The sequence below is a fragment of the Homo sapiens genome, chromosome 6 (assembly GCF_000001405.40).
Source record: "Homo sapiens chromosome 6, GRCh38.p14 Primary Assembly".
Lineage (NCBI taxonomy): Eukaryota > Metazoa > Chordata > Mammalia > Primates > Hominidae > Homo > Homo sapiens.
In genome coordinates, this window is record NC_000006.12 from 46,896,932 (window position 1) to 46,918,490 (window position 21,559).

The window sequence follows — 21,559 nt, forward strand, 5'->3', positions numbered from 1 at the left end:
GATAATCTAAAACATATTCAAGGATGTACATAGGTTATATGCAAATTGACACAATTTAATATCAGGGACTTCAGCATATGCACATTTTGGTATCTGAGGGGTTCCTGGAACCAATCCCCCATGGATACCAAGGGAAGGACAACAGTATACACACACACACACACACTCATATACATGTATACACATATACACAGACATATGCATGCATATATATACACACACACACACACACACACACACACACACATATAAATTCAAGGGGCCAGTTAGGTTATGTAACTGACCAGTCACATGGGTAGAAATTCATGGTGTGCTGAGAATAAATATAAGTATTGATCCTATCTTTAAAGATGATTCTATTCCAAATGCTAAAGATTTTGTCCAGTGACTCAAAAAAAAAAGAAAAAAACTCCTGACCTAATTGTTTTTCTCCTAGAACCTTTGTATCCTTCTGGCATCCAGGCTTCAGAAAGGGAGAGGTATGTGTATGTAAAAGGGAATAGCAATCTGAAAATCAGAGCCCAGTTCTAACACCTCACTTAACTAACACACCCACCAAGCAGAACACAGACACCTCCATGTGGCATCCTGTTGAAGGTAACATTTTCTGTTGCTTCCTTTCATCATTTTCCTGGAGAGTCGTGTTCTTTTTTTTCTCTTTGAGATGGAGTCTCGCGCTGTCGCCCAGGCTGGAGTGCAGTGGTGCGATCTCAGCTCACTGCAACCTCCGCCTCCCGGGTTCAAGCGATTCTCCTGCCTCAGCCTCCTGAGTAGCTGGGAATACGACTATTTTTAGTAGAGACGGAGTTTCACCAGTTTTGTCAGACTGGTCTCGAACTCCTGACCTCGTGATCTGCCCACCTTGGCCTCCCAAAGTGCTGGGATTACAGGCGTGAGCCACCACGCTGAGTCATGTTCTTAATTGCAACTTACATTCTGGATATCTGGGGCCTAGTACCTAGGTTTTTCTATGGCCATTTCTTACTTCAGCGATTTTGTAAAAGTACCAAGGCCAATCCATCTTCTGCAGATGATGGGTTGATTCATTAACACTTCCCAAATGACTCTAGAGGCCCAAGAACACAGAGGTCCATGTATAATAAATGGAAAACATCTTTTCATGTTGATTTAACATTGTCATGATTGTTTTTAATGAAAGCACACCTGGAAAAACTTTGGAATGTCAAATCCTTAGATGTAGAAATGGTTTCCTCCCCAAGGGCTACCCCCTCACGTTGTCACCACGGGTCATAAACAGCCTGGCTCAGAAGTGCAGGAAGACATTCCTTTTACAGCTGTAGTCACCCACTGCTCCTGAGGAAGCCAGCAGCCTGAGCCTTAGAAGAATTTGGCAGAAACCTGGAGCTGGAACTCACTGGCCAGTAGTTTGATTTTAAAAAGCCAAAGTCTTTCAAAATACCAAATGAGCACATCTCTGTCTTTGTTCCTGTCATAGAGTGCAGAAAAGTTTAAAGGGTTGTCGGGATGGGGTAGAGGTAATGATACCTGTTTTAGAGCACAGAACGTATATACTGTGCCATAGGCCACTTCAGGGAAGGAGGGAGAAAGGGAGCATGGGATCCCACAGGGCTAAGAAAACAAAGGCTGAAACGGAAAAGAAAAGAAAGGGAAGAGAAAGGGAGAGAGGGAAAACCAACAGTGGTATGATCTTCCAAATAGTATTTTAAGAGCTTAATAGAATGTGGTCAAATTCTCATTTCAAGCGCTGGACAACAGTTGAGTCTGGCCACTGCACCGTGAAAGGCTTGAACAGATGCCTCCACTCTGATCTTAGGGTAAGCCTGCCCTCTTTGGCAGCCTACTGTCTCTTTTAGACTCACTAGATCAAGTCACACATGGCTGAAAAAATGATTCCATCCTAATGTGATAGGGTAAAAAATTTTTCCTTCTAGATAGTTGGTACAGACACTCAGCCAGCAGACGTTTTCCGATAGGAATTCAGAAAGGTGCTGTAATGTGAACGTGCAAGTGCTTCATCTATTCGCTCACTGGTTGAGAAAGAAACTGAGCTTGATGCCAGGCTACAGAGATGAGGAGAACGCAGGTGAGCTCTCCTCTACTGGGGGTGGTAAAGAGGAGGTAAAATAATTACAGTGCTTTGGGACAAATGTTGTGAATGGAAATGTATCAAGGGGAATGGGAACCCAGGAAAAGCAGTCTCTGATGATCTGGGGAATGGATGGAGGGCCTAACAGGGCAAGAGTTCATAAGACTTGAGGCTTCAGTGGGGGTCTCCCAGATAAACAAAGGGGGATGATGGGCAGGGTGTTGATGACGTGAAAGGGAACAGAAGGAGATCAGGTGGGAAAGGCACAGAAGGCCTGGTGAGTCACAAGCAGAGGATTGGCTTTTAGTTCCAAGGCCAAGGGAGCCCATGAAGAGTTCTATGGGGGCAAATGACAGGATCCGATTTGTGCTTTTGAAGGGCTTCTATGCTGGGAGTGGGAGCACCAGGTCCTGGGAATACCCAGCCTGCGGCCCTGACCTGACACCTGCGCAGGGTCCACTCAGGATGGGATTTGAGGGTCGGTGTTTCAGAATTTGCAGCTCTTCACCTACCCCTAACCCTCCAAAGGGCTGAGTCTTGTATTTTCCAGATCACTGCTTTAGAAGTGAGTGGGAAAATTGGAGTGGGAAACAGAGGAGGAGGACTTGAGCCTCGTGGTTAGATTGCTTCACAGGATAAAGTCCTAAGTAAAAGAAGTTTTTTTTTTTGTTTGTTTTGTTTTTTTTTTTAAAGCAAAAAGAAAGGCTTCTGGATGGTGGGCAGAGAAGTAGACCATTTGGTGGTGCGGGAGGGCAGCTGAGGAGGGAGCCACAGAAAAATCCTAGGAATGTGAGGAGCAGTGATGGCAATGGGGAGGGAAGGAGGGTTCTTACGTGTTGTTATGATCCAGTTACTGTCATTTGGTAGAGAATGGAGTTTCCTAGTAATTATTTTTGGAAATCACACTGCACTATATGACCCTGATGTGATTGGAGGCTGAATTATGTAGACTACAATGTTTTAAAAAGTTGCAACACATACCATTTGAGTCAACTTATAAAAGGGATTGCCAAGCAAGAGTTTACATACCGGCTCGTTTTTGCCTCAGTGCCTCTTCACCAGCTGGTTCATGTTCATGAAGACTCTGAAAAGAACATTTGAGAAAGTTGTCAATTAACGTTAGAGAAGTCTTTTCACTGTGGCTCCCCGCTTAGATACCCCTAAATGTTGGAGCTGAGCTTAAGGCTGCAGACTTTGGGTTAGCACCATGTGTCCCGTGGATGCTGGGCACATAGCAATGAAATGGTTTGGAAGACAAAGTGGAGCTGTTACTGTAGTGTGACCTAGGAATTCATTTTTTTTTAGACCAGCCTCTAGACCAGGAACAGAAGAAATCATCATATCTGACTTTCTCAGAGTTCCTGCAGTTTGAATCCCGTCAAAAATATAAATTATTATAATGTTCTAAACTTGTACTCTCTGCCTGACTTGAACTGAGTCATCCCAGTGACCTTCGAGACAAGTCTCACGACCTCCTTCTCAACACTCACCCTGTCCTAACCCCAATCTTCCTGCTGTATTAGGGCTCTTTAACCATTGTGTGTGCTTAGAAATTATTTTTTCTACATCTGATCCTTTTTCTCCTGGATGGTTCTATTGCTGGTTTCTGTAGTAGGAACTAAGAAAGCCTGCTCTAGAGTCAGACTGCCTGGGTACAAGACTGTGCCACTTACTCTGTGGCTTTGTGACCTTGGGGAAGTTACTTATCCTCGCTGAGCTTCAGGGTTTTTTTCCTGTAAAATGAGAATAATAACAATATCAACTTCATAGGTTTGTTATGAGAACTAAGCAAACTACAGTATGGCATATAGTAAGTTCTTAATACATTTTAGCTATTATTATACAGTGTGGTGACTAAAAGTAAGGACTCTGCAGACATTGAGTTCAAATCCTAGCTCCATCATAAAATGTCTGTATGACCTTGGGCAAATCACTTAATCTTTCTGTGCCTCAGTTCTTACCTATAGAATGGGGATGAATATAGCTTATCTCAGAACTTTGATGCGAGGACAAAATGATTAATAAATGTAAGGCCGTGAAAGTAATTTTGGTTACATGGTAAATGCTATTCAGGGAGGGGGCATCAAGATGCTCTGGGGGCATCATGCTGCACCTGCCACCTGGTGCATTTCTGTGAAGTTCATCTCCTTCATCCTGTAGCTTTTTTGTTAAAGAATAGGCATTGATCAGTTTCACTCATGGGATCACCACCAGCTCTGCAGCTGGTAACAGAGCCTACCCCATACCTTGACCTGACAAGGATTTCCTAGCTGATCCCTGCCTGCCTACAGGTTTTCCTGTGATGTATTTTCCACTCCAAACTCCTTTCACACTCAATAGAAAAGCCCCATCTCTCTGAAGTCTCCCAGATAACCCCTGCCCACAGAGATCTGTGCTTTACCCTGAACTCCACGCATCCATGACCGCCACCTGGGGCAGAGCTCATTCTGCCGTCAGGGTTGTCTACCACTATTTTCTAGTTATCTCACATCATCACAATGACAAACATAATACTTCCTAAGATGTATTTAACACCCTGTGCCAAGACAAGGGTAGATGCTGTTATTATCCACATTTCACTAATAAGAAAGCACAGGCAGAGAGAGGTCCAGTAACTTGCCCAGGATCACACAGACTTTAAAGGCAGAGCAGGATTCAAACCCAGCCAGCTCCAGAGTCTGCACTTGTCCACGCAGGCACTGCATCATCTTATCAGCAGAGTCCTGGGAAACTGGCTTTGTCTCAGGGAGCGGGTCTCTCTTTACCCAGAGCCGTTTCTCTCGGTGTCTGTATAACCTCTTCCTATTCCCTCCTCCTTTCCAGTGAACAGTTCCCTTGGCTGGTCTCCCTCCTCTTACTAAGTTACATTTTTAGGAAAAGATCAGATGTCCGCAATTTACCACTCCATGTAAGGTTTACCTGTTCCCCTCGCTGATGCCCTTAGGAGGTACTGGTTGAGGAATGTATTAAAGTCAATAGGAAATGGGGAGCGACTGTGTACTTGATAGTTCATAAACGTTCTTGAAGAAATAAATAGGGGAATGATGGATGATGATTGGAATTTCAAAAGCCCAGTTGCTGCTTTATTTGCAGTGAAGTTATTTTAGATGTACTTGAATATGCAGGAACTGAAGGTGCAAAGTCAATGTATAGGACTGTTTCCAGCCCAGCTTCCCTTGGAGAATGCTTTGGCTTTCTGCCCAGGCAAAAGGAAGGTTCTTCGTGCTTTCCTGCCTCCATCCTCTCTGGGGCCTGGTGGGGAGGAGGGAGTGGCCACTGGGAGCTTTCTCTGTCCACACTTCAAGGCAACAGTTAGGGGACTCAGACAACACAGGAGAACTTGACCGCCAATGGTCACCTTTGGGCAGTTCTCCCAGGTCGAGTTTTCATTCTCTCTGCTTTCCAATAGGACTAAAGCATTGAGGTCTTGCCTCTTGTCTTGTCAGTTACATGTTAAAATCAAGATATATTTCAATTATCTAATGCAGCATATTTCAACTCTTTGTAAGAATCAGGATCATTGGTCTCCCCTGCCCCCAGTGTGATTCAGTAGGTCTGGGGTGAGGTGCAGAAAACTGCCTTTTCAAGCAGCGCATCCATTGACATGAGGCCATCTTTTGGAAACACTACTTTCTGAAGATTTCCGGAATCTTTATGGTGATCATCTGGAACTTTCAGGCCACATCTTTGCAAGTGCCGCTTCCACAGCTCTGTCACCTACAGCCTCTTCGTTGTCCAGTGGGAGCAGCCTACTTACTATTTTAAGCCCTACAATCATTGGAGATAATGGAGGGAAAAGCACATTGATGGCAATGAAGCCTCTGAGGAGTTGGGATGGAGATGGGTAAATGCTCTTGGCCATCCCCAGATTCAAGGAGTTACAAAGATCTGGCTGCCAAGTCACCGGACCTGATTTGAATAGAGCAAATGGTCACACCAAGAAGTGAATCCCACAGTTTCAGATTTTTAGGAGATGTCATTCACTCCCTCGAATCCTCTGTTTCTTACATTATGAAAAATAATAAGTGCTGAGGCATGTCAGGTGCTCAGTGCAGTCTCTGGTAGTGGTGAGTGTCGTGTATCCTGCCGGCATGGGGCTCACTGGGGACCAGCCTTACCATCCTGAGTCCTCATGTTATCGCAGTTTGGGGAACTGTGGGACTCCAGCACTTGCCTTTCCTCTTACACTTTGGGTGCTGGGTAGATCTCACAAGGGAGCACAGGTTTGCCAGGGCTCCCAGTGCTCGGCAGTGTATTTACTTCAGACAAGAAAACAGAGCTTCCAATTGGACCTCCCCTGCCTGCTCCATCTGTGTAGAGGTCCCCAGGGGACTGTCTGAGCCACAGTGGACAGAGCTGTCCAGAGGGAATTTCCTGAAGGCAAAGCTTCAGCCGGAAAAGACAAGGTCACCAATTCCAGGAAGTGCCCCACCTGTCGGACATGATGACTTCACAAATAATTGTAGTGGTGGTGGGGCAGGGTGGCCTGGAGTGGGGGTGGGTAGTCAGTCAGGAATGAGAGGTGGCTTTTTATTCATGAAGAAGAAAATTCCCAGGGAACAGGATGGCAAACGAGAAGGTAAGCAAAGGCTCCTGCTTTCCCAAATCTTAACCCTACTCACCCGAGCCCTGCCACACATGCCTCTTTTTCTTGACCTGAAACTTCCAATTTAACATCTTTGCTTCTGTGTTCGAAAACTGTCTGAGCAAGAATCCTCTAGCAATGTCTCCTCACATAAGCATATTCAGAGGGGTTTATTTGTATCAAAAGTAATTGCAAAAGCTGCAATTACTTTTGCACCAACCTAATACTAGAATATTAAAAATAGCTACAAATTCATAAGCACTTGGGCTCTGTGCTAGTCACTGTGCTGTGGGTTGCATGTAGAACATTGAAGCCTCACAACGAACAGATGAAGGAGATATGATTTATTCTCATGTAGAGGAAACAGACTCAGGGAAACGAAGAAAGTTGACAGTTTCCAAAGCTAATGAGAGTCAGAGCTGGGCTTCCACTCAGACCTGACATCAAAGTTGAGCATATATAGCCTGTAACTCTAAGATGGTCACTGGAGCAGGATCCAGGGCAGCATGTCTGAAAACCAGCATCCTGGGACCCACCCAAGCATCCTGAGCTAAAATCTGCATTTGAAGAAGGTCTCTGGGCAGATCCATGCTTACATGAAAGCTTGAGAAGCACTGAGCTACATCATCACCCTTTAAAAGCCCTTTACCCCACATGTGTATATTCACGTTCATAGGCACATTATTCACAATGGCCAAGAGGTGGAAGCAACTCATGTCCGTGGATGGATGAGTGGACAAACAAAACATAGACATATGTACAATAGGATATTATTCGGCCTTAAAAAGAGGGGAAGTGCTGACACAGGCTACAACATAGATAAACCTTGAGGATAATATGCTAAGTGAAATAAGTCAGCCACAAAAAGACAAATACTATATGATTCCACCTACAGGAGTTATCTAGAATCACCAAATTAATAGACAGAAATTAGAATAGTAGTAACCAGCAGCTGTCAGTAGAGAAGGAAATGAGGAGTTATTGACAAATGGGTATAGAGTTTGAGTTTTGCAAAATGAAAAAATTATGAAAATTTATTGTACAATAATGTGAATATACTTAATACTAATAAACTGTATGCCTAAAAATGGTTTCAAGATGTTAAATTTTATGTTAGGCATATTTTTTCACAATTTCAAATACCAAGCCCATCACCAGATGTTGCATACATGTGTCACTTAAGATGGCAGAAGGTCAGTCATGGAAACTGGGTGGCAGCTTAGGGCAGTATAAACTGATCAGGCAGGCTCAAGTGCACTTTTCCAATGGGAGTCTTCAGCCTTTGGGTTGCATGAAGACATTATACCTTGAAGGGTAGATCTACCAAAGAAAAGTGGGGTCCTTTGAGGTGAGTTGTAGGAGCTTCCAAGAAGATGGATTTCACATTCCACCAAGATCTCTAGGAGGTCAGCTTATCCCCTGACCAGCCTTCACCACCAGGCAGATGAAGGGGCTTTGCCAGGGCCATCACTAGGAGGGCAGATGTGACATAGAGAGAAGGCATTGCTGCAGCCAGGAGCACTAAGAAATGCTGGAACAGAGGCAAAGCTAACCCCATTGCTGAGATCACCTCAGGCCCTGGCTTTTACCCCACCTGCCTTGGATAGCCAGAGCTCTGCACTGACTATGTGAATTCACAAGAAGCTTAAATGTTTCCCTTCTCTATTTAAATAGGAAGGCTATTGTGTATGAGTGTACAGGTTGTACTCTGCACACTGGGGTTTGGAAGAGGAGACACACCATATATATTCCCCAAGTCATGAAAGAAATAAAGAAAAGACAAAGATAACCTAGGTCAAACAATGAAAGAACCAAAAATGGAAAGAGGAAGAAAGTACATGAAGTCGTGAAACAAAATCCTGAAGGTAAGATCAAGCATTTTGAAAATGATATCAAATGGGAATAAATTATACAAATTTACTTGCTCAAGTTTGGTTTAAAAGAAAAAAAAATCAAACGCACATTGTTTACAAGAGAATCATAAAACAAAGTGGTATATAAAGGCTTGAAAAAATAAAGGACAAAAATCGGGCAAACACACAAACAAAAGCAGAAATGACAATTGGAATAGTAGACAAATAATTAAATTAAAACATACAAAGTAGGACAAAGAAGGGCATTTTATAATGCTAAAAACATACCAATGAACCTCTAACAACAATGACTGACAAAAAAATAGAACTGAAATATGTAAAACAAAAAAGTGGAAAACATTACTACAATAAGAGAAACAATAACAGCAAACAGTCACATAACATTTATTATGTGCCAGACACTGTTCTAGAGCATCTTATAGATATGAACTAATTTAATTTTCATAACAATAAAAGGAAATCAGTACTACTATTAGCATCATTGTACAGATGAAGAAATTGAGACAGAGAGAATTACATCAGTCTTCAAAGATTCCCAACCAGTAACATGCCCTGTCTCTGGTGCAGGGAGAAGCTAAGTAAGGAATAACCTGAAAATTCCCATAAGGAATAAGGGGGTACTTATCCCTCCCTTTACTTAAGCTAAACTCTCATTGACTTTCCAAAGACAAAACCACCTGAATAATCTGTCAGCAAAGGTCTTCTATGATGTCTATGGTCCCTTCAGCTATATCAGTCTGTGACTGTCACACACACACAGATTAATGTCTTTTGGAATGTGTTCTAGCCTGATGTCCCAGTTAAAACAAATCCTTTGAGAACATACATTCTGCTCAATCCTTCAAATCTGCTTTGTTGTTATTGTTGTCAGTTTAACAGAGTGGAAGACTTAGGCCTAGTGGTTGTAATTTAGTGAAGGAAGGAACCCTGGGAGGTCTCTCTTGAAGCTACATTGGTGTTCCCTTGACACCACCACTTATTTCAGAATATAGCAAGTGGTAGCCCAGCAAATACACTGACCTGAGTTTACATTCACCCCTTCTCCTCATTTGCAACATTTTTTCTTATGTTGCAACTATGGGAAGAATGTTTTTTCTCCCCCTAAAGTTTTTTCTCCTTAAACTTTTTGTAAGAACCATTGTCAGTCAGGAAATCAGAAAAATGTGACAAGAAAAATTATAGCAGATATGGATATAACTCACCAAAGGATGAATAGTAGACTCGTAATTCCAGTTCAGTGCAGCTTTGGAAGAATAAATCACAATAAACATGAGGCACAAAGTGGTTCTCCTTGGGGATTTCATGTCTTCAAGTTTGAGTTGGTTGGCCTGAAATGGAAATATGATGGTTTAGATATACAGCAATTTATTTCTTAAACAAGGAAAAAGAACTCGCAAGCCCTGTCTTAAAGGTCATCCTACACAAGAACTTTTCAAAAGAGACACAAAAGGAAGGAGGAGCATGAAGGAATCAACTTAGCATTCTCTGCCCAGACCTTTGGGTGAAGAAATGGTCACAGTAGGGGAATGCGGGTTGATAGGCTGAGAATGGTGCCTGTAAATAGGACAAAGGTAGCAGATGTTTGAGTAAGAAATACTTACACATAATTTATGAACAAAAAGACTCAGAGAACACTATTCATTTTCGCTACATGCAATATACTTTGGTATTTTCAATTCTATCATAGAGTATCTTTCCACATTTTTAATTTAATTCTGGTAGCATCCCATTAAATGGACATCATGACCCATATTAATGGACTATGACCCATTAGTATGAAAACTGCTGGACTTGGTTATAAAAAATGTAAGTTGTATCTTACAGTATTATTTCATATTATAGTGCATAATATAGAATATTAGTATCATTATATATCCCATCTTATTCATTGAGTTCTTTTTATTTTATTTATTTATTTTTTTTATTTTTTGAGACAGGGTTTCACTCTATTGCCCAGGCTGGTCTTGAATTCCTGGCCTCAAGCAATCCTCCTGCCTCAGCCTCCCAAAGTGCCAGGATTACAGACGTAAGTCATCATGCCTGGCCTTATGTGTTGATTTTTTAAAATTCATTTTATAATGCTGATGATGAAAATAGCTTTTTGGTGATGAGATGAATCATTTTTGACATTTTTTCACTTAAAAAGTAGGGTGTCACACGGAATAACCTCCACCCTAGAAGGTCTAGGGACCAAGACAATCTACTTTGTGCACACTCCTCTCCTTGTAGCTTTTCTATGCCCAGGTGTTGTTGTGAAAAGAATGCTAGACTGAGAGACACAAGATATGGGTTAGGATCCAGGATTACTAGAAACTAACTGTGTCCTGTGTAAGTAATTTGTCTTCTCTGAGTCCAAGTTTTCCCATCTGTAAAACGGGGATAATTGTACCTCCCCTAATTCTCTCACAGAGTTTTCTGAGACTCGAATGAGATTAAAAGGCATGAAGAACTCCAGAAATGCAGGCTGCAATAATTATTACTCTGATCGTCAATAGAATCCAGAATGCAACCATCCAGAAGGGCAGGCTTTGGCTGCAGTGTTGCAGGGAGCGCCAGGTAAGCATGGCCAGGATAACACACTGATGATAGGCAAGATTTACATGCCAGGGAAAATTGTATTTCAATTGCCAGCTGACAACTGCCACCTTTTCCTCTTCCTCAGTGGAAAACTGGAAAACTGATCCAATTTGCAAATTTGGCAATCAAACACATTTTTTAAATTCTGCAACTCAATGGTTTGGGGGAAATGCTTTGCAATTTAGGTTATAGTAGTTGTTTAAGACCAGATGCATCTGCTATGGGGAAATCATAGCAATGTACTGCTTAATTTTCTATTGGAAGTTTTATCTTCCTTTTTGAAAGACAGTGTGTCTTTGTGGGTATTGAACAGGCTAATACAGAATGAGTCAGGTATTTAGGAGGCAAAGTAGTCTTTTCAGGCCCCAACCTCAGTTGGTTCCCTACTGAGGCAGTTAATCAAGGAGACGAGACTTAGTAACTGAATAGTTAATGAGCCTCCCTTCGAATCTGATAACCAAGGAAGAACTCACATACTAGAAGGACTAGAGCTGGCTCCATATCTTTCTACGATTTCCCAGTGTTGGCATTGCATCCTTTTTTTGGTCAGTTAGCAAGAATTACAATGTTTTCAAATAGTCATGTCTGGCCCTTTTGTACAGGCCATTGGCCAATACTGTCCCCATCTTCCCCCACCCCTGCCTCTGCTGAGACTATTTTTAATAAATTAACATTCTTATCTATGTTGACTTATTTGTTGACAACAAGATTGCAAGCCAAAAGAAATGGAGATGTAGGAAGGATGCTACCACGGGGAGGCGGGTGTTCTCTGGATGCAGAAGATGATATACAGTCATCAGTTACACACAAATGTCAGGGATTCTTCACTCAAAAGAAAGGAGAAAGCCACCACTTTGAAAGAAAGGAAATAGTCAATATATTTGACAACCTGTATGGAATGGACCTGACCAATGGGAACAGTGACACGAGCTGAAATTCACTTCAGCTTTTGGGGTTGCTGCCACACTTGGGTAGAGACCTAAAGATCAACTTTTCTTTAACCTGCATCATTAATCGTATAAACCTTCCAGCTCACAGGTATCCATACCTGTGAGGAAGCAAGCAAAAACTGTTTAACTTGGCCAATGTGGGGGAAAAGTCTATATTCATCCAGTTAAAAATATGGAGCAGCATCCCATATTCAAGGCAGTTTGTCTTCAGTAGGGGCCCTTTAATGCTAAATTCCCTAAAAGTTCATATTTCTTCTAAAATTCCTGGAGTAAACGGCAGACAAAGACTGAGAGACAAAGAGAGAAACAGAGGCAGAGAAAGAAAGAACATTATCAGATGTCATTCCCGATCTCCTTCTCTTTTTAAATTAAAATCCAGGACACTCTCTACTAAAACTCACCAAAGCTGGGAAATATGCCCTAGCCCTCAGTATTAGCCTTGCGGCTCTGAGCAACTTCCTGGTCTCCTCTGACTCTATTTTCCTGTCTGTGAAGTTAGAAGACAGGGAGAGGAAAATAAAGCACAGCCTGACATCATATGCCAGGAATAAGTCATCAAGATTCTCAGCAACACTGCATCTGGAGGATGAATGATCTGGGTTCCCTGAAGCCACCATTAATGGCATTCTCTTGCAGAGTGATTATGCACCAGGAAGCTTCACTGTGGAACTGGCCTGTTCTTACAACCCTTAGAAACAACCGGTGCTGGCTGGGTGTGGTAATGCATGCCTGCAATCCCAGCATTTTCAGAGGGCAAGGAGAAAGGATCACTTGAAGCCAGGAGTTCAAGACCAGCCTGAGCAACAAACTGAGACTCTGTATTATACCAAAACAAACAAAAACAAAAAAGTTTTTTTTTTTGTAAATAGCCAGGTGCACTGGCATGCACCCATAATCCTAGCTACTCAGGGGGCTGAGGTGGGGAGATGGCTTGAGTCCATGAGCCCTGGAGTTCGAGGCTGCAGTGAGCTATGATTTCACCATTCTAGTCCAACCTCTAACAGAGCAAGACCCTATCTCTCAATAAAATAAAATAAAATAAAATAAAATAAAAAATAGAGAAACAATCAGTGCTTAAGATCAACTCTTCTCTTAGAAATCCTTCATCAGCCCTGAGATCAGAAAACTAGGCCTAGAAAGAGCTGAGTGTCTCAGAGCTCAGAGGTGGCTAGGAGCTGAGTTCGTCAGAACTCCAAGAGATCTACCAATGATTCTCAAAATTTTAGCCAATGATATCCTCCGACAGTTGGAGCAACCATTTATGATAGGATTGTGGGTAATAATTGCTGGTGGTTATTAATTGGCTATTAATTATAATTGGTGGGTAATAATTGCTGGTGACAATGACTGTAGGATAGGATTGTGGGTAATAATTGCCAGTGGTTATTAATTGGTTATTAATTATAATTGGTGGGTAATAATTGCTAGTGAAAATGAATGTAGGAGTCCTGTCTTACTGGGTGCTCACTATATTCTAGGTCTGCTGCTGAGCTCTCTGCAAGGGTTACGCCCTCTAACCCTCTCAAGGAGCCTCTGATACTATTAAATTACCCCCATTTTTCAGACATGGAAAAGGAAGCTTAGAAGGATGATTAATTCACTGAGGCCACACAGCTGATAGACGGTAGTGGCAAAATTATAAACAAAGCAGTCTATTCTCCTGAGAACAAGGTGCCATTTGAGCTAAGAGATTTTCTTGGTGGGAAATCAACCAACCAACCAAACAAACAAACAAACAAACAAACAAATTATAAGTTATAGACACCTGACCAGGCAACTGGAAAAAAACTTCTAGCCTCATTTTGCCACTAATTAGCTGTGTGATGTGGGGCAAGTCACTTTATCTCTCTGAGCCTGTTTTCTTATCAGTAAATCCAGGGATTTGACTGCACTCAATAATTTCAAAATTGGGATGCAGGAGTTGGTCTCTTGAAGTCCTGTTACTATTTTAAGAGTCTAAAATTCTTCACAGTTATTTCAACTCAAATGCAGGCTCACTCTGGTTAACTTCTGAGAATAATCATAACTATCTTGCATTTATCTCACCACTTCTGACTTACTACACAGTCTAGGCCTTCTCTGCCCCTCATGTACACCATGGCAATGGCTTCCCTTCTTTACTTCTCTGCTCCCTCTCTACAGAGAGGCAAGATGGGTTTTCCTGAAGTACTCTTCACACAACATTCCCTGTTCAATTTTTCCCTGCTTTCAGAATAAAGGAAATCACTTTCACTGATCCTCAAGGCTCTCCATAACCTGGACTTTATTTAGAAGAGTTAGCATATGTAATAAGCATCTATAATACTTTCACTACCAAAGTCAGCTGCTTTTTCATAAGTTAAAATAGTGCAAGAGATTTTCCAATGCTCACGCAAAAGTAAAAATGCCAAGTCAAACTTTGAGAATTAATTTTGGGGAGGGACAGGAGTAATTACTGTCAAACAATTTTTCTGTGTTTGGCGAAACCAAAATAACCCTATCATTTATTTGGTTTATTAATCTCCATCTTTTCCTGTCCCCTAACCCCACACAATCACTGCATATTCAGATTCTACCCATCCTTCAATGCCCAGGCAAAGGGCTCCCTCACAGATGAAGGTTTCCTGATCTGTCCAGTTATAAATAGTCTCTACTTCCCCTGAACACCTACACACACTTAGTCTAGGCCTTTAGCCTTCCTGCTTGTATTATATTTATTGTTATATCTATTGCACGAAGTAAATCTATTTATTCCCTTATCTATTCATTTGTGTATTCCTTTACTGGAAAAACATTTATTAAGTCCTGTTACATGTTAAGAGTTCTACTGAGTGAAGGGGAAGTAGCAGTAAACAAGACAACGGTCCCTGTCTCCATGAAGCTTAAAGTCTAATGAAGTAGATGAACATTATTAAAGAATAAATTACTCAATTCATTGTTTAACTATGACTGTGAAAGTGCTACCGAGAACAGTAATCATAATATTAATATTTGTTGAGGACTTACTATATACCAGGCACTAAACTCAGCACCGACAATATTAAATCACTGAGTCTTTACAATTCTAATGGGGTGGTTCTAGTATGATATCTAATTAAAGGGTACAGATCTGGTATGATATAAAATTAACTGAGCCACTGAGTGGTTAAATAACTTGCCTGAGATAACACAGCTAGTAAGTGACAGAGCCAGGATTTGAACCTAGAAAGTCTAACTCAAGAGCCCATCCCTTTAACCATTGTGCAGAATTGTTTACAAAAGGCTATACCAGAAGGACCTGACCTAGTCTTAGGGATTTGTGGAAGATATTCCAGGGGAAGTATTTATTTGAGCTGAAACCTAAAGCATAAGTTGGAGTTAGCTAAAAACAACAGGGGAGTTTGGAAGAAGGGGAGGAAGATGGTTCTAGGTGGAAAAAAAAGATCATGTGAAAAGGCCCTGAGGTGAAGAAAGAGCATGACACATTTGAGGAGCTGCAAGCAGGCCAGAGTGGCTGGAACATGAAAAGAGAGCAGGTGAAGGGTACGAGGCAGACGGGGTGAGGTGAGCAGAGGCCAGGATGGGGAGGACTTGTCATTGCAACAACAGGATTAGGTAAGATTGATTAGGGAGGCAATAGAGAGTAGAGAAGGAGGCCTAGGAACAAGTCCTACAGAATTCCAACAATCAAAGGTCCAGTTAAGAAACATGACAAAGCCAAGATGATTGGAAATTGTGAAGTCCTAATTAGGGAAAAAGAATCAGGCTGGCAGGAACAGGGGACAGCAAAAATAAAAAGCAGATAAGCTATAAGTCTGCCTTTCTTCATGGTCCAGAACACATAGCCCTCCTGTGCAAATAACTCACAATCTTCCTGTGCCCAAGTTATGACCAGACCCTTCGCTGATTAAAAAAAATGCAAGTTAGCTCACTGCAACCTTGGCATTATCAGTACTGCACAAAGCCCTCTTCAGCACACAATAGAAGCAACATTCTATAAAATCCCCAGCAAGACTGTGTCTTGTTACAGTCAGCCCCTTTTTGCTGGCCTGTCCATTGCATCCTTGCAACATATTTTCATACTTTTTCTAATAAATTTGCCTTTCTTTACCTACGACTGTCTTGATAAATTCTTCTTAGTACTCCCACCACCAGCTCTAAATAGTGGCTAATCGCCTGAGACAGGAATGAAACCAGAGAGGCAGGAACAGGAGGGAAACAAGGCTAGTGGAGTCAAGGAAACCGGGGAAAGTCAAGTTTTAAGAAGAAGGGGGCTGGGCCAGGTGTCTCACGCCTTTAATCCCAGCACTTTGGAAGGCCAAGGGGGGCGGATCACCAGATGTCTGGAGTATGAGACCAGCCTTGCCTAACATAGTGAAACCCTGTCTCTACTAAAAATACAAAAATCAGCCAGGCATTGTGGTGGACACCTGTAATCTCAGCTACTCGGGAGGCTGAGGCAGGAGAATTGCTTCAACCCAGGAGGTGGAGATTGCAGTGAACCAAGATCACGCCATTGCACTCCAGCCTGGGCAACAAAAGCAAAACTCCACCTCAAAAAAAAAAAAGAAGAAGAAGAAGGGGGTGGTCAACTATGTCCAGTGGTGCCAAGAAGTCCATTAAGGAGGAGACTGATATTGCTCATTGGACTTGGAGACATGGTATGCTCTCAGCAAAGGAAATCCCATTGGGATGGTTGGATAGAAACTGTACTGGGAAGAGTTATAGAGTGTTTGGGGAGTGAGGACTTGGAGATGGTGAGTACATGAAACTCACGAAATTTGTTTGTAAATTGAAGTAGAAGGTGAAGGTTCTTCCCACATGTAAGCTGCTTAGCTTTCACGTCCACGCAGTAGGTGATGTTATACGCATAGCTTTCTCTTTAAGAAAGGAACTAACTGTATTAGTACAAAATCAAGGGAAATCATACCTCTTACTAAACCTTGGCCTGCATCTGGCTAACTAGACACACTATTGTGACCTTTGAAAACAGCCAACGGCATATACCCTAATGTCTCCCAAACCTTGTGTTCTGGGATACAGACTACGATCAGGCAGCCCTTTTGCAAACATATACTTATCAAAATAGAGACTAAATGAGCCTGAAAATAGATGAGCACATACAAGCATTCTACTACTAAAGAATAGAGTTACTTTTAATGGTGGATGATAGATGGCAATGCCAACTTTCAGGAGGACTATCATTGCAAATTTTACTATGATTATTACTCTGCTCATCTCCATGAGATACAGAGTTGCAATAAGGATAGAATGCCATCAGCAACCTACTCCCTGAACTGTAGAAGTACAGATTAAAAAACCCTTAAGTGTAACTTTAAGAGCCTGCCTTCATAAATCTGTATTTTCAGCTGCAGAGGTGGTAAGACTTATCTTTGCTGACCTTATTTGATTAGATGATTCATCTCCTGCACAAGCAAAAATATAAGCTAAATATTTATTTAACACAAACATGGGACACAATAACAATTAAAGAACTGCCTTGAAGACATTTTTTTTCCTATTTAATTTTCCATTGCCTTGAAATCAGGCCCTGCAGCAGCATTGTGTCAGGGCAGTTCAGTACTATCAGATTACAGGGGAACATTTGTTTGTACACAATAGGATCAAGTTTTCCAAAACACACTGCACATGTGGGCGGCGTTGATAACCTTTTATCCCTCTTTTCTTGTTGTTAAGTCACTGTGGGTCTTAGGCTTTAAGCAAAAGATTGCCATCTATGTGAAAACATTGAGTTCCTAACTGCTCTTATCTAGTCCGTCTTGCATTAATTCACCATGTGGAGGGGTTTCCCTAAGCCATGGCAAAACAATGCCCAGGGGTGCATTCCAATTGCAGACGGAGGGAAGCCCTGTGGAATGGGTCAGGTTTTTGTTGTTTGTTTTTATTTTTTTTGTTTGTTTGTTTTTTTTGAGACGGAATCTCACTGAGACACCCTGGCTGGAGTGCAATGGCATGATCTTGGCTCACTGCAACCTCTGACTCTGGGGTTCAAGCGATTCTCCTGCCTCAGCCTCCCAAGTAGCTGAGACTACAGGAACATGCCACCATGCCCGGCTGATTTTTGTATTTTTAGTAGAGATGGGGTTTCACCATATTGGCCAGGCTGGTCTTGAACTCCTGACCTCAAGTGATCCGCCCATCTCGGCCTCCCAAAGTGCTGGGATTATAGACGTGAGCCACTGCACCCGGCCCAGTTTGTTCTATACTCAAATGTTATGTGAGAAAACTTGGCAAAGCTCATTTTACATTAGGTTGTTCTCAAGCTTCACAGTTCTGTGGTTCTACCATGTGTTAGGTAAGCTCCAAAATAATACTTGACTATTTTAATAATAATAATAATAATAATAATAATGGACCAATCAGAACAATCTCTGTCCACTGTGCAGGAGCAGGGCCTGGGGGTCTCCTGCTGGGCTAGACCTTAGCAGTGTCATTGCTGGATTGTAGGGAAGTCTGTGTAGGATCCCAGGAAAGGGACTGGATGACTAAAGAAGAGGTGGGGAGGCACTCCAGGGGCTGGAGGAAGCAGTTATTTGCAATGTGGCTTAAAATATTCCAACATTACAGTAATTGGCAGGGCCACCTTAGCCTTCTGCACTTCCTCCCTTTATGGCCCCCATCCATTCCATCTCTCTGAGAAATGGCTTTGCTGTCCTTAGCCAATGACTTCTCTTCTAAATCTTCATTTCCTTCTTCAGGGATTTTGTTAGATTTTAACCATATAATGTGTGTGCTATTCAGAATGAAAAAAAAAATATTACTTTATCCCCCCACCCCCAACCCCAAGAAATACAGTACCCTGAAAAGTCCTTGCTAGTTCAAGATTTCCTTACTCTGGACAGTTTGACTTTAGTCCTCACCTCATTATGAAAAGTATTCTGTAGAGGCAAACCCACAACATTTGCCCCAGTCCTCACTCTCCCTGGCTTGCGGTGGGTACCTGCTCCATTTGTGCATGGCCTCCTCCTCTGCAGCGCTCCCTTTCCCTTTCCCTTTCCTGGTTCTCAAGGCTCCCGAGCTTATGCCTTTTCTCCTTCTATGCTCCCATCCTCATCATCCTGCAGCTGCCTCACTGTGCGCCCTGCCAAATACCTCTCCTGGGTCTACAGCTCTTCTCTCTTGACACCTTCTTATAGTAAGCTCATCCACTTCCATAGTTTTAATTGTCAGTTTATGTGAGAATTCCCAGAACTGTATTTCCAGCCTCTGACCTTTATGGCATATTGCCTCTTTTCTTGTCCCCAAAGATATCTCTTTCCTCTGCATGCCTATTTCCTCTCTTTGCTACATATTAGGCATGGCTTTTCAACTATACTCTTTCCACTTGAGTGTAAATTCAGATCATCGAAAACTGAACTTGTCTCCTGTCCCACTGCTCTCTCCTAACCCATCCCTTCCCAGATGTGCCAACTGCTGGCTTCATTGTTTCCTAGGCTCACAGCTTCACAGGTGTCCTTGGACACAAGAAGTGGTGCAGGAGCAGAAGCAGCAATTCGACCGGGTACTAAGTCCTGTTACCTGCTGCTGATGTGCTCAGAGCCCCTCATCGGTTTGGATATTGTCATCTCACCACACTTTTTTGGACATTGGGCCACTACATTGGTTGGGACATTATCATCTTACATCTAGATGGTCTCAATAATCTCCTGAATGGGCCCCTCGCTCCTTTCTTCCCTGACCAATAATCCAACACAACAGCAGGGAATTTATTTGCCCAGAGCACTATTCTTCCTAAATTGTGGCTAGATCATATTTAAATACTTTAAATGTTTGCAAATGCCCAGAGAATATTTAAGCCAATTCACCAGGCAAGCATGATCACCACGACCTAATGTAAAATGAGCTCTGTCAATTTTTCTCCCATAACACTTGAGTATAGAGCAAACTGACCCACTCCCAGCTTTTATTGTACCTTCTTTTGTCATAAATATTAAGAGACAATATTAGTGGAATGCATTGCTACCTTGCAGCTTCTTCTCGCGCTATTCTTGGTAACTGAAATGCTCTATTTCTCCTTTCTGAGCTTTACTCATTATTTCAGGTCTTGCTTATTCATTTGGTAACAACAATTACTATAATTTATCAAGCACTTGCTGTGTGTCAGACACTTGCCATATGGCAAGCATTAGGTTAAGCACTATACATGCACTAGACTCATTTAATCTTTATAATCCTGTTTATGAGAAGTATCATCATCTTCATTTTACAGATGAAGAAACTGAGCCTTGGCTAAACAAACACACTTGGCAAGTGGCCAAGTTTGTCTCCAAAGTCTGAACTCTGACCTTTATGGCATATTGTCTCTTATTTTGTCTTCCCCAGAGATATATCTTTCCACTGCATGAACCGCATTTCTCTCCTCAGCTACTCATCTGGTCCTGCCATGTGGATCACTTTTCAGCACTGTGTGTTTTTCAGGCATAGCACGGTAATTAGGCATATGGACTCTGAAGTCAGACTGCCTGAGATGGAATCTTAACGTGCCTCTATTTGCTAGCTTTTTGTCTCAAGTGATTTACTTAACTTTTCTGGATCCCCCATCTATAAAATGGGGATTATGATTTTATTTGAGGCATAGGATTATTGGAACAACTAAATGGGTTAACAATCATGTTTATAAAACACTGAGTATGGTCCCTGGCACATAGCAAATACTCGATAAATATTGTTTGTTATTTCTCCTAATGCTATCCCTCCCCTAACCCTCACCCGCCCCCCACAGGCCCCTGTGTGTGATGCTCCCCACCCTGTGTCCATGTGTTCTCATTGTTCAACTCCCACTTATGAGTGAGAACATGCAGTGTTTGGTTTTCTCTTAGAAATACCTAATGTAAATGAGGAATTGATGGGCACAGCAAACAAACATGGCACATGTATACCTATGTAACAAACCTGCACCTTGTGCACATGTACCCCAGAACTTCAAGTATAATAATTAAAACAAATTCAATCAAAAAAATTGTTTGTTATTAAAATTCTCAATGCCTGTAACTTGCTTTCCACTAAGAGTCTGAGCTGATTAAGAGAAAGGTTCTTTGCCTTTGCAATTCCACAGCACTTAGCAAGTCACTCCAGAGTAGGTGATTCTACTAGGCTGTAATTTTAAAGATTTCACGTTGGCGATTACCTTTTAGGAAGCCGGGAAGATTCCAGTTATTTTAACCATCATGACCAGAGTCACACCATGTGATTTGAAATGTTGAGCTGGTAAGTAACTTGTGAATCATGGTGTGCCCTTAGCTAATATGTATATTTAACTCAACCATCCTTATTAGAGCACCTACTCTGTGCAGAAACTCGTAGGTCCTGGGGAAACTGAGATAAATACTGAACAGGCCCGGTAGTCCTCTCTATCAAGGAGACAAACATTGCACTGACGAGAGATACTAACTTGAACTATATCAAGAAATGTCAGTGGGGAAAAGGCTGTAGGGAAACGTTATAATTAAAAAACATCCATGACTTATCATCTATTCATATTTAGTTCAACCCAGAAAGTGGCAGCTCATGCAAAGGATAATCAGTA

General features: G+C 42.0%; 1 protein-coding gene and 1 long non-coding RNA gene across 10 annotated transcripts in view; one reads left to right on the forward strand and one right to left on the reverse strand.

The window, feature by feature from the left end:
• The window catches only part of ADGRF5 (adhesion G protein-coupled receptor F5), a 102,418-nt gene that overhangs the window by 44,410 nt on the left and 36,449 nt on the right, over window positions 1-21,559 (reverse strand). For 8 of the 9 annotated variants that reach the window (XM_047418326.1, NM_015234.5, XM_005248893.4 and 5 more), the window contains exons 2-3: window positions 9,730-9,855; window positions 3,098-3,152 (exon numbers count right to left, since the gene is read on the reverse strand). In XM_047418326.1, the coding sequence (XP_047274282.1) occupies window positions 3,098-3,152; window positions 9,730-9,831 (157 nt within the window). In that variant the 5' untranslated portion in view covers window positions 9,832-9,855. Of the gene's footprint in view, window positions 1-3,097; window positions 3,153-3,741; window positions 3,802-9,729; window positions 9,856-21,559 lie in introns of those variants that run through there. The other variant, XM_047418327.1, reaches the window with a different exon arrangement.
• Window positions 6,540-13,098, forward strand: ADGRF5-AS1 (ADGRF5 antisense RNA 1). Its single transcript, NR_110658.1, has 4 exons — window positions 6,540-6,647; window positions 8,328-8,518; window positions 10,937-11,083; window positions 11,813-13,098. It is a non-coding gene; the product is annotated as an ADGRF5 antisense RNA 1 (long non-coding RNA).